The following is a 14,642-nucleotide window of genomic DNA, read 5'->3' on the forward strand; positions in this document are numbered from 1 at the left end:
CATAAAACATTTAGAAAAAAATAGGAGAAAATTTCAAGATCTAAAACTAGGTAAAGAATTCTTAGACAACACCAAAAGCATGATCCATAAAAAAAAAATTGATAAATTGTGCCCCATCAAAATAAAAGCTTTGGCTTTGCAAAAGGCCATGTTAAGGTAAAAATTCAGCCAGGTGTGGTGGCTCACACCTGTAATCCCAGCATTTTGGGAGGCTGAGGGGGGTGGATCACCTGAGGTCAGGAGTTTAAGACCAGCCTGGCCAATGTGGCAAAACCTCATCTCTAATAAAAAAATATAAAAATTAGCCAGGTGTGTTGGCGCAGACCTGTAGTCCCAGCTACTTGGGAGGCTGAGGGAGGAGAACTGCTTGAACCTGGGAGGTAGAGGTTGCAGTGAGCCGAGAATGAGCCACTGCACTACAGCCTGGGAGAGACTCCATCTCAAAAAAAAAAAAGGATAAAAAGTCAAGCTACACACAGAGGAAAAATATTTGCAAACCACATCCAACAAAGCTAATACATAGAATATATGAATTACTTTCAAACACAACATATAAAAGCAAATAATCCAATTATAAAATAGGCAAAAAACATGAACATATATTTTCCCAAGGAGGACATATAAACAGCAAATAAGCACATGAAAAGATGTTCAACATCTTTAGACATTGGGGGAAATAAAAATTAAAACAACAATGTGGTATTACTACACACCTGTCAGATTAGCTAAAATAAAAAGTAGTGCAATAAAAATGCTGACATGGGCATGAATCATTCACACATTGCTGGTGGGAATGTAAAATGGGAAACAGTTTGTCAGTTTCTTCAAAAAACTAAACATGCAACTACGGTACAACCCAGGAAATGCACTCCTGGGCATTTATCCCAGTGAAAGGAAGACCTGTGTTCACACAAAAACCTGTACACTAATGTTTATAGCAGCATTATTCATAGTAGCCAAAAATTAGAAATAATTCTGATGTCCTCTAATTAATGAATAGCTAAACAAATTGTGATAAATTCATACCACAGAATACTAAGAAATAAAAAGGAATAAACGATTAATACATTCAGAATTCTACTGAGTTTAAAAAGCCAATCCCAGCCAGGCATGGTGGCTTATGCCTGTAATCCCAGCACTTTGGGAGGCCAAGTCGGGCAGATCATTTGAGGTCAGGAAGGAGTTCAAGACCAGCCTGGCCAACATGGTAAAACCACGTCTCCACAAAAATACAAAAATAAGCCAGGCATGGTGGCACATGTCTGTAGTCCCAGCTACTAGGGAGGCTGAGATAGGAGAATTGCTTGAACTGTGGAGACAAGGGTTGCAATGAACCAAGATCCGGCCACTGCACTCCAGCCTGGGCAACAGTGAGACTTTGTCTCAGAAAAAAAAAAAAAAAGGCCAATCCCAAAAGGTTACACATTATATGATTCCATTTTTTTTTTTTTTTCTTTAGACGGAGTCTCCCTCTGTCGCCCAGGCTGGAATGCCATGGCGTGATCTCGGCTCACTGCAACCTCTGCCTCCTGGGTTCAAGCGATTCTCCTACCTCAGCCTCCTGAGTAGCTGAGATTACAAGCGCATGCCACTACGCCCGTCTAATTTTTGTATTTTTAGTAGAGACTGGGTTTTACCATGTTGGTCAGACTGGTCTCGAACTCCTGACATCGTGATCCACCCGCCTCAGCCTCCCAAAGTGCCGGGATTACAGGCGTGAGCCACCGCGCCCGGCCTATATGATTTCATTTAAATAACATTCTCAAAATGACAAAATGGAGAACAAATTAGTAGGTGCCAGAATGAGAGAGAGGTATGGGAGAGAAGTATGGCTATAAAAGGACAACAAGAGGGATCCTTATTAGTGATGGAAATGTTCTGTATCTAGACTGTATCAATATCTTAGTTATGATGTTACTATTGTTGGAAACTAAGTAAAGGGTCCAAGGGATCACTCTGTATTATTTCCTACAACTGCATGTGAACCTATAATTATCTCAACCTATAATTATCTACCTATAATGAATGTAAACATTAAAAAAGAATGTATCATATTACAAGTCATTAATAAAATAAAAATTCATGGGCCCATAATTTAAAACTTAAATTAAAATGGGGGGAAAGGCCGAGCATGGTGGCTCACGCCTGTAATCCCAGCACTTTGGGAGGCTGAGGTGGGCGGATCACAAGGTCAGGAGTTCAAGACCAGCCTGACCAACATGGTAAAACCCCGTCTCTACTAAAAATACAAATATTGGCTAGGCGTGTTGGCGTGTGCCTGTAATCCCAGCTACTCAGGAGGCTGAGGAAGGAGAATTGTCTTAGCCGATAAGTGACGGAGCTGACCTTCTAAACCAGACTTGGCGACTCTAGCTGCAGAATTTTCCCCACAATACCACATTTCCTCTCTGCCCTGCCAATGGAATACAGAAAGATCTACTTCTTTTCTTCCTCCTTAATATGTCTGTAGCCTGTAATCTCTTGATCCGTCTACCGGGTCCCTCCCACAACAGGGAGGAATTATGGGAGCCACTATTCAAAACAAGATTTGGGTGGGGACTCAGAGCCAAACTCTATCAGGATTCAATGCAAGGGACAACTCATCTTGGAACCCTTTCCTGACTGCCTCTGCCTACCTCTCATGCTCCACTCTCACCGTGGCTGAGGCAGAAGTTGTTGTGCTGTGTATGCCTTTTCACAGCACATATCACATTATATTGAAATCACTGGGGTATTTGACCTCTTTTCCTCTCCAGACTTGAGCTCCTTGAAGGCAAGTCTATGCGCTTGATCTTTGGTGCTGATTCAGTGTCAAGAAGTTAAGTGCTGAATGAATGAAGAAATTTAACCAAAAAATAACTATTGAGTGAATGCCAGCTCTGTTCCAGCTGTGGATCTAAGCAGCTGAAGGTCCAATGGCAAGCAAAAATCCACACAGCATCACTGTTCACGTGACTTACACTCTACTTGGAGTGCAGACACGAGTTAAATACCCACACTAATGAATAAATAACTAAAACTAAAATATGTGCTTTGCAGGATGAAGAGTACGGCTCAACAAGAGCAGTTAAAAAGGACCATGACCTTGACTATTTTTGTTCCTTTCATTTTGTTTTCATTTGTTTATTTGTTTGGATTTTAGATGGAAGAGATCTGAGTATGATTAAGACTTAATGGGAATAATTCAGGTGCATGTGAGAGGTTAAATAATAGCAAACAATAAAAGGAGAGAAAATGATTAAATAACACAGTAGGCCTCTTGAGGATAGAAAGAATTCTACAACTCTTGTCGAGACACTAGCCTGGATGAGAGAAGAAACACCTCTCCTGAAGCCACAGGAGGGAAAACTGAGGAAGTAGATGCAGAGGTAGGTAGAGGGTAGGTTTTGTACAAGTGAATTGAATGAGGTCCTGTCAAAAGCTTAGATTTTGTCTGAGTGAAAGGAGTCAAAATGATCTACTGGAAATTAGGTGAAAGGTGAGGGAGTCAGAAATTTGAAGGGAGTGAAGAGGGTTTGAAGTTTTCATTATAGAGTGCAGGAAAGAAAGTTAACAGAAAAAAGTAGCAGGATTGCTGGGGTGTGTTAAGAACCATCTGAGGTTGGTGATGGTGACTATATACCTACAAAAATGTGCCTATTGTGTAATTTTTCTCCAGCAGCCTGGGAGGCCCGGGGCAAACACAGGGAAAGCAAACCATTGTGTTCATTCAGGGTGTGGTTTTGCCAAATTGTAATGAGGAAGTGGCAGTGGGTCAAGGCAATTTAGAGTATTTGGTGAGAATGTTATTGAAATAAAAGACCATGAATCCAAGAGGAGAAGCCTGATGGACTGGAAGGAGTAAAGGAGAGGGGGCAGTAGTGGACTGGAGGACCCAAGGAGATTAAAGAACAACAATAGCGAAAATGGTTGAATATGAGGCTAGAAGGGAAAGTAGAAGCATGGCTTGTGGAAAGTGGGGTGGTGGAGCTACCCCGAACGTTCTCCAAACATTGCACTTCTTCAACAATGTTCAGGATATTAAAATTATGATGAAAAGGTATTAGAGGATACAGCATGAAAGCTAGGCAGTGAGAGCCAAGATGCAAAGACAAGTAGTAAAAGGTGATGACTTTTTAGCATCCTTGTTGCTCCTCTGTCAATCACTATTAGCACAGGCCTCAGATTACACTCTACGCTCTACCCCCTCCCAGGTTCCATCCTCCCAGGGTCAGAGACCGGCTGGGACTGTTAAGAGGGGAGGGCATGGTTACAGATCAAAATGCTTAAATTTGCTATTTTGAAGGTAGAAGGTCCAGGTGATAACAGTGTCGTGGAAGTACATGGAAGAGGTAGAGAGATTAGTGGAAATGAGGAAACTGGAGTTTTTGAGGGCCCTCCACGGAAGGTGAGGGCACACTGGAAAGAGAAGTCTGTGAGCCACACATCTAAGTCTTTGTTGAATGATAGAGTGTAACCTGGAGGCAAGTATGGGACAGGGACTAGGAAAGAGTCAAAAGGTATGACTTGCCAGGCGCGGTGGCTCACGCCTGTAATCCCAGCACTTTGGGAGGCCGAGGCAGGCAGATCACGAGGTCAGGAGTTTGAGACCAGCCTGACCAACATCGTGAAACCCCGTCTCTACTAAAAATACAAAAAGAAATTAGCCGGGTGTGTGCCTGTAATCCCAGCTACTCTGGAGGCTGAGGCAGGAGAACTGCTTGAACCTGGGAAGCGAAGGTTGCAGTGAGCTGAGATCGTGCCACTGCACTCCAGCCTGGGTGACAGAGTGAGACTCCATTACAAAAAAAAAAAAGTATGACCTGTGGTATGAGATAATTTGTCTCAGGAGAGTGAGGCAGTAATGATCTAGAAGAAGCAGTGGAAAGCAAGGCAGACACAAAACCTCATGGCAGATCCTGAGGTAAGTGCAGCAGAAAAGAGTAAACAGCCAGCACTAAACGTAGAGAAAGAGACATGTTAGAAGAATCATTGCCTACGCTGTGCTCCAGTGGACTGTGTCAGCTCAAAAGGTATGCCTTTCAAATTGTTCAGACCCACACTCTGGGCTAGCTTGGCCTTGTCTGGGAAAGTGCTGACCTCAGGAAAAACCAGATTTCAGTTAAGATACGTTGATGAAGAGATGGAGGAAAAAGGCTATTTCTGGTATAGTAGAATAAATAAATATTCATTCATTTAAGAGAAAACAGATTGGCCGCCTCTAAGATTGTGTTTTATCACTTGACTAAAAGCTGTGTGAGGCTGGGTGCAGTGGCTCACACCTGTAATCCCAGAACTTTGGGAGACAGAGGGGGGTGGATCACCAGGTCAAGAGATAGAGACCATACTGGCCAACATGGTGAAACCCCCCATCTCTACTAAAAATATAAAAATTAGTTGGGTGTGGTGGCAGGCACCTGTAGTCCCAGCTACTCGGGAGGTTGAGACAGGGGAATTGCTTAAACCCAGGAGGCGGAGGTTGCAGTGAGCCGAGATCATGCCACTGCACTCCAGCCTGGGTGACAGAGCAAGACTCTGTCTCAAAAACAAAAAGTGAGAATGAATTAACTCTTGCTCCAGTTGTAGTATGGAAGGGATGTGGGTAGGAAAATTCACAGTTTAAACCTCCATCAGTGGAAATAAGGTGGATATAAAGCACAAAGTAAATTGAAAGTTGATATGGTTTGGCTGTGTCCCCACCCAAATCTTATCTTGAATTATAATCCCCATAATCCCCACATATCAAGGGAGAGACCAGGCGGAGATAATTGAATCACGGGGATGGTTTCCCCCAGGCTGTTCTCATGATAGTGAGTGAATTCTCAGTAGATCTGACAGTTTTATGAGGGGCTCCTCCCTTTCACTCAGCACTTCTCCTTCCTGCTGCCTTGTGAAGAAGGTGCTTTGCTTCTCCTTTGCCTTCCACTCTGATTGTAAATTTCCTGAGGCTGCGCCAGCCATGCTGAACTGTGAGTCAATTAAACCTCTTTTCTTTATAAATTACCCAGTTTCGGGCAGTTCTTCATAGTAGTGTGAGAACAAACGAATACAAAAGTCTATACTCTCAAGAGAAGCTTTGCAAAGTGCCTCTGTCCCTGACTTCCAAAGTCATTGTTTCAGAAATTCTCTGGAAAGCTTCCTCCCCAGGTGAGCTTTCAAGTACTATAGCAGAGGCTGAGCAGTAGTGGAAATAGGGGAGAGAAAGAGAGGAAGAGAGAAATAGGAGAGAAAGAGAGACCTGTTAGAAGAGGGTGTAACTAGGAATCACCTGAACTCAAAGGTGGAAATTCAGGTCTCAATTAATTTTATTCTAAGTTTTATCTGAAGGAAAGAGCAGTGGCTAGATAAGACACTTGCTAATTCTTAGAAGGACTGGAAAGAAATACAGCATAATGTTAAAAATACCATTGTGGTCTCTGGCTAGGAGACATTTTTTCTTCTTTGTACAATTCTTTATATCTGTATTGTCTATATCGAATATATATAATTTTGATATTTAGAAAAACTGTAGAAAAATATTTATGCCCTGTTAAAATTCCTCACAAGCACATAACAGCTATTTTTAGGGTAAAATTGGTTGCAAACTAAAGGAATTACAAAGCTCCAAAATAAATTATCTCCAATAATTTCAGTAGTAGTACAGTAATGATGAAGAATCAATATAGTAAATTTCATAAAAATGAAACGTGTTAGAAAAGCAAACAACATGCTAAAACACCAGCTGTGTGACTTAATGTCAATACGTATCACAAAACACCATCTACAGTATATAAAAGAGAAAATTCAGAGCTGCAGGAAAACTTGTTACCTATAATGGGAGGAAGATACACATTTTAGGAAATCAGCATGACAAGCTACTAAAGTGGAAATAAGTAAATAACTATTATTTTCAAATAGTTTCAGAGTAATATTAGTCACTAGATGAGAATTTTTAAATTAAACACAATTTTTCCTTAAAGTATCAACAAGGATATATCCTCTATTTCAGCACAACTAAGAACCAAAAATGTGTATTAGTCTGCTTTAGCTAGATTGTGTTACAGTAACAAACAGCCCCGTAAATCTCAGTGGCTTACAACAATAGTGTATTTCTCACTCATGTTACATGTTAGGGGCTGCAGGTTGGCTATGGCTTCACTCCATCTTTCTTTTCATTCTAGGACTTAGGCTGAACAAACAGTCTCCACTGAGACATATTCTCAAGTCTGAGGAAAATATTGACTTACTGGCAAACAGCAAAGACTCAAAGCTTCTACTAAGAATTGGATATTGCAACCTCATTTTATTGGTCAAAGGAAGTCACGTTGCTAAGCCTGATACTATGGCAGGGGTGTATACTCCTTCCAAGGGATGCACTAAATTCACATGGCCTTGGACAGAGATGTGCAATCCTTTTATAGGGAAAGGGACAATGAATATTTGGCATAATAATATAATACATCACAAAATTCATTCACTTACAGAGCATTTACTATGGTGGTAAACACTAGAAAAGTGCAGTGAAGAAGGCTGGGTGTGGTGGCTCACACCTGTAATCACAGCACTTTGGGAGGCCGAGGCAGGAGGATCATGAGGTCAGGAGTTCAAGACCAGCCTGGCCAACAGAGTGGAACCCCATCTCTACTAAAAATACACAGACACAAAAAAATTATCTGGGCATGGTGGCGGGCGCCTGTAATCCCAGCTACTTCGGAGGCTAAGGCAGGAGAATTGCTTGAACCCAGGAGGCAGAGGATGCAGTGAGCAGAGATTGCGCCATTGTACTCCAGCCTGGGTGACAGAGTGAAACTCTGTCTCAAGAAAAATGCAGTGAAGATAAAAAACATTGTTTATATCCTTAGGAGCTTAGTGGATAGCTACCATAGAATGTTTGCTATAGATATATACCACACTATATCCTGTACTTATGGATCCCATTTAAGCCTTTCAGTAGCTCTATAATGTATTATAGGTATTTATCATTCATATTTTATTTAAGGGAAAACTGAAGTTTTCCAATTAGCCCAAAGTATGTGTGGTAGATTGGGAAAATGATCAAAATTCTTCCTCTTCTGGCTACCATACCCTTGCATGTCTTAAAATATACTTGTTAAAGTGAGAACGCCTGTAATCCCAGCACTTTGGGAGGCCGAGACAGGCGGATCACGAGGTCAGGAGATGGAAACCATCCTGGGTAACACGATGAAACCCTGTCTCTACTAAAAATACAAAAAAATTAGCCGGGCATGGTGGTGGGTGCTTGTAGTCCTAGCTACTCGGGAGGTTGAGGCAGGAGAATGGCGTGAACCCAGGAGGCGGAGCTTGCAGTGAGTCGAGATTGCGCCACTGCACTCCAGCCTAGGCGACAGCGCAAGACTCCGTCTCAAAAAAAAAAGTGAGAATGAATTGACTGTTGCTCCAGTTGTAGTATGATGGGGAAATGGGTGGGAAAATTCAGTTTAAACCTCCCTCAATGGAAATAAGGTGGATATACAGCACAAAGTAAATTGAAAGTCTATCCCCTCAAGAGAAGCTTTGCAAATTGCCCTTGTCCCCTGACTTCCAAAGTCACTGTTTCAAAAATGCAATGTACCCTGGAAGCCTCCTCCCCAGGTGAGCTTTCAAATACTATAGCATATCTGATCTTCTCAGCAAGAAGTGTAGACTCTTTCTCCACTCTTAAATCTGAGCTAGTCATGTGAGTTTCTTTGACTAACGGGCTATTAACAAATACAGCAAGCAGAGGCTTGAAATATGTTTGCACACAGGGACTTGCCCTTTTCCTGCTCTTGGAACCATGCTGCCATGATCACCCTTCTAAATGAGTGACACGTGGCTCAGCTGCCCCTATTGTACTAACTTATAGCCTATACATCACCAGACAAGTGAATGAGGCCACCTTAGATCATCTAGGCATGTGCCAGTGCACCACCTTGCAACAGATACATGAAAGCCCAGCAGAGACATGCTGAGATGGCCATCCACCTGGGCCTCAGAATGAAAAGCTAAATAAATAGTTGTTGTTTTGAATCACCAACTTTTGGGGTGGTTTGTTATGCAGAAAAAGCTAACTAATATACAGGAAGAAAGGACAGAACAGAAATATATATACAAGCCTATCTGTTTCCAAAGCCTTGTTCTTTCTATTAAGCTATACCTCCCTCTCTGGGATGGAAGAGGGATCTTGAAAAGTCAGGTACTCCATTCACGCAAAATGAATCTAACAGATATTTACTGGGTGACCAGTTTAGCACGTGTCAGGCACTTTACTATGTTTAGATGCACTGTATTGAACAAGAAGGAAATAGCTCTGTCATCAAACAGCTTACAGTGTAATGGCTAGGGGAAAGGAGTAACGAGTAATAATTACATAAAAAAAGAATGTATTATTTTACCCTTGATCCCAGGAGGTCAAGGCTGCAGTGAGCCGTGCTTGTACCACTGCACTCCAGCCTAGGCAACAGAGCAAGACCCTGTCTCAAAAACAAAAAACAAAAAAAGAATTCATTATTTTACATTGTTATGAGAGATACAAAGAAATCCAACATAATTATGAGAAAACTATGGGATAGAAGAAAAACAGGGAGTTAGAAAAGGAGCTCTAGTGTAAGTAGAGGTGTAAGGGGAGTAAGTCCTCTCTAAAGAAATGGTGCCAGTTGTGGTCTCCAGAAAACAGAGGTTGAGATGGAGTTAGGAGTGCAATGCGTTTAGCAAAGAGTAATACTTGTTTTCCAGAAGGTGAGAAAGAAATATTGGACAGAGAAAAACCACATGATTATCTCAATAGATGCAGAAAAGGCCTCTGACAAAATTCAACAACCTTCATGCTAAAAACTCTCAATAAATTAGGTATTGATGGGTCGTATCTCAAAATAGTAAGAGCTATCTATGACAGACCCACAGCCAATATCATACTGAATGGGCAAAAACTGGAAGCATTCCCTTTGAAAATGGGCATAAGACAGGGATGCCCCCTCTCACCACTCCTATTCAACATAGTGTTGGAAGTTCTGGCCAGGGCAATCAGGCAGGAGAAGGAAATAAAGGGTATTTAATTAGGAAAAGAGGAAGTCAAATTGACCCTGTTTGCAGATGACATGATTGTATATCTAGAAAACCCCATCGTCTCAGCCCAAAATCTCCTCAAACTGATAAGCAACTTCAGCAAAGTCTCAGGATACAAAATCAATGTACAAAAATCACAAGCATTCTTATACACCAATAACAGACAAACAGAGAGCCAAATCATGAGTGAACTCCCATTCACAATTGCTTCAAAGAGAATAAAATACCTAGGAATCCAACTTACAAGGGATGAGAAGGACCTCTTCAAGGAGAACTACAAACCACTGCTCAATGAAATAAAAGAGGATACAAAGAAATGGAAGAACATTCCATGCTCATGGGTAGGAAGAATCAATATCGTGAAAATGGCCATACTGCCCAAGGTAATTTATAGATTCAATGCCATCCCCATCAAGCTACCAATGCCTTTCTTCACAGAACTGGAAAAAACTACTTTAAAGTTCATATGGAACCAAAAAAGAGCCCACATCACCAAGTCAACCCTAAGCCAAAAGAATGAAGCTGGAGGCATCACACTACCTGACTTCAAACTATACTACAAGGCTACAGTAACCAAAACAGCATGGTACTGGTACCAAAACAGAGATATAGACCAATGGAACAGAACAGAGCCCTCAGAAATAATGCCGCATATCTACAACTATCTGATCTTTGACAAATCTGACAAAAACAAGAAATGGGGAAAGGATTCCCTATTTAATAAATGGTGCTGGGAAAACTGGCTAGCCATATGTAGAAAGCTGAAACTGGATTCCTTCCTTACACCTTATACAAAAATTAATTCAAGATGGATTAAAGACTTAAATGTTAGACCTAAAACCATAAAAACCCTGGAAGAAAACCTAGGCAATACCATTCAGGACATAGGTATGGGCAAGGACTTCATGTGTGAAACACCAAAAGCAATAGCAACAAAAGCCAAAATTGACAAATGGGATCTAATTAAACTAAAGAGCTTCTGCACAGCAAAAGAAACTACCATCAGAGTGAACAGGCAACCTACAGAATGGGAGAAAATTTTTGCAACCTACTCATCTGACAAAGGGCTAATATCCAGAATCTACAATGAACTCAAACAAATTTACAAGAAAAAAACAACCCCATCAAAAAGTGGGTGAAGGATATGAACAGACACTTCTCAAAAGAAGACATTTATGCAGCCAAAAAACACGTGAAAAAATGCTCATCATCACTGGCCATCAGAGAAATGCAAATCAAAACCACAATGAGATACCATCTCACACCAGTTAGAATGGCGATCATTAAAAAGTCAGGAAACAACAGGTGCTGGAGAGGATGTGGAGAAATAGGAACATTTTTACACTGTTGGTGGGACTGTAAACTAGTTCAACCATTGTAGAACTCAGTGTGGCGATTCCTCAGGGATATAGAACTAGAAATACCATTGACCCAGCCATGCCATTACTGGGTATATACCCAAAGGATTATAAATCATGCTGCTATAAAGACACATGCACACGTATGTTTATAGCAGCACTATTCACAATAGCAAAGACTTGGAACCAACCTAAATGTCCAACAACGATAGACTGGATTAAGAAAATGTGGCACATATACACCATGGAATACTATGCAGCTATAAAAAATGATGAGTTCATGTCCTTCATAGGGACATGGATGAAACTGGAAACCATCATTCTCAGCAAACTATCACAAGGACAAAAAACCAAACACGGCATGTTCTCACTCATAGGTAGGAATTGAACAATGAGAACACATGGACACAGGAAGGGGAACATCACACACCGGGGACTGTTGTGGGGTGGGGGGCGGGGGGGAGGGATAGCATTAGGAGATATACCTAATGCTAAATGACGAGTTAATGGGTGCAGCACACCAACATGGCACATGTATACATATGTAACAAACCTGCACGTTGTGCACATGTACCCTAAAACTTAAAGTATAATAATAATAAAATTTTTTAAAAAAAGAAATATTGGACAGAGGAATCATCAAATCATAACCTGACAAGAAGCCAGAAAGACCGGAGCCCAACACGGAGCTCTGGAGCAGAGATTGCCTGTTAGAGGAATTCCATATTGGGTGGAAATGCCTTATACCACTGATTCTGACAATAATCACAGTCACTGGCTGGGGACACCCTGAGAAAAGTGTGACCTCAGTTCAAATAGAGGGGGACCCTGAAGGAGCCACCACTGGACACTGTTGCCTAACCATGCTCTTCACAACTGGGCAGTGAATCCTTTTTTTCTTTTTTTTCTTTGATTATTATTATTATGAGACAGGGTCTCCCTCTGTCACCAAGGCTGGAGTGCAGTGGCATGATCACAGCTCACTGCAGCCTTGACCTCCTGAGTAGCTTGAGCTACAGGCACGTGCCACCACACTTAGCTAAGTTTGTATGTTTTGTAGAGATGGGGATTTGCCATATTGCCCAGGCTGGTCTCCAACTCCTGGGCTCAAGCGATCTGCCCACCTTGGCCTCCCAAAGTGCTGGGATTACAGGTATGAGCCACCATGCCCAGCCAAAATTTACCCTTTTAAAGTGTACAGTTCTGTAACATTAAGTACCTTCACATTGTTTACTAACCATTACTACCATCTATCTCCAGAATTTTTTTATCTTCCCCAACTTAAATTATGTACCCATTAAATACTTCCCAATACCCTTTCCTTTTAGCCCCTCGCAGCCAATATTCTATTTTCTGTCTCTATGAATTTGCCTACTCTAGGTACCTCATCATAAGTGTAAAATCATACAATATTTGTCCTTTTGTGACTGGCTGACTTCACTTAGCATAATGTCTTCAAGGTTCATCTATGTTGTAGCTTATGTCAAAATTTAATTAATTTTTAAGATGGAATAGTATTTCATTGTGTTTATATTCCACATTTTGTTTGTCCATTCAAACATCAATGAACACTTGGGTTGCTTCCTTGTTTTAGCTATTCTGAATAATGCTGCTTTGAACACAGTATGTAAATATTTGTTTAAGTCCCTGCCCTGCCTTCATTTATTTTGTATATGTACCTAAAAGTGTGATTGCTGGATTATATGGTAATTCTACATTACATTTTTTTGAGGAACCAGCATACTGTTTTCCACCGTGGCTGTACCATTTTATATTCCCAACAGCGCACAAGGGTTCCAAATTCTCCACATTCTCACCAACACTTGTTATTTTCTGGTTGTTGTTTTTTATAATCCATCTTAATGGGTGTGAAGTGATCTCATTGTAGATTTTTTTTTTTTTTTTTTTTTTTTTTTTTTTTTGACAGTCTCACTCTGTTACCCAGGTTGGAGTACAGTGGAGTGATCTCGGCTCACTGCAAGCTCCGCCTCCCAGGTTCAAGTGATTCTCCTGCTTCCGCCTCCCAAGTAGCTGGGATCACAGGCACCTGCTACCACTCCGGGCTAATTTTTGTATTTTCAGTAGAGACAGGGTTTCACCATGTTGGCCAGGCTGGTCTTGAACAGCTGACCTTAAATGATCCATCCACCTCAGCCCCCCAAAGTGCTGGGATTACAGGCATAAGCCATCATGCCTGACCTAATTGTAGCTTTTTTATTGTATTTCCTCAACAATAAGTGGTGCTGAAAATCTTTTCATGTAGTTTTTTTTGTTGTTATTGCTGTTTAGACAGAGTCTCACTGTATTGCCCAGGCTGGAGTGCAATGGCACGATCTTGGCTCACTGCAACCTCCACCTCCTGGGTTCAAGTGATTTTCCTGCCTCAGCCTCCCAGTTAGCTGGGATTACAGGCATGTGCTACCAGGCCTGGCTAATTTTTGTATTTTTAGTAGAGACAGGGTTTCACCATGTTGGTCAGGCTAGTCTTGAACTTTTGACCTCAGGGGATCCACCCTCCTCGGCCTCCCAAAGTGCTGGGATTACAAGCATGAGCCACCGCACCCGGCCAATCTTTTTATGTATTTATTAGGCATTTGTATATCTTTTTTGGAGAAATGCCTATTCAAGTCCTTTGTTCATTTTTTAATCAGGTTGTTTGTTTTTTGTTGTTGTTGTGTTATAGGAGTTCTTTATATATTCAAAATATTAATCTGTGGCTCAAGACACTAGAGATTGTTGGGATGGCTTCAAACAGGCCATATATCTGGAGCAGGTCTGAATTCATGGATGTGTGACCTGTGCTTACGCAATAATAAAAAGGTCCCACCATCTTGAAGTTCTCAACAAATTTCAAATAAGGAGTTCCACATTTTTATCATTGGGCCCTTCAAATTATGTAGCCAGTCCCTCACTTCTGGTTGTCAGTTGGGTTCTTCATTCTTCTCTACCTTTTGTCTGCATACACAGAAATGTCAAAGATGACTTCTTTATGCACATATCTGGTTGCCTGTGTTGGAATGGATGAAAAAGTTACGGATGGCCAAGCATCTTTGTCCCTTTCTCCTGTTTTTTTTTTAGATGATGTCGTTTATTTAAAATGTTTACTCCAAGAAATATATATATATATATATATATATATATATATATATATATAAAATAAGACAATTATAGCACTAAACCAGTCACCTTCAGCCAAATCACAACCTCCTCTTTGATTCCCCTTCACGCTAAGCCTCTTTCAAATCCTTTTTCCTGAGCTGG

Source organism: Homo sapiens, chromosome 13 (genome assembly GCF_000001405.40).
Source record: "Homo sapiens chromosome 13, GRCh38.p14 Primary Assembly".
Classification (NCBI taxonomy): Eukaryota; Metazoa; Chordata; class Mammalia; order Primates; family Hominidae; genus Homo; species Homo sapiens.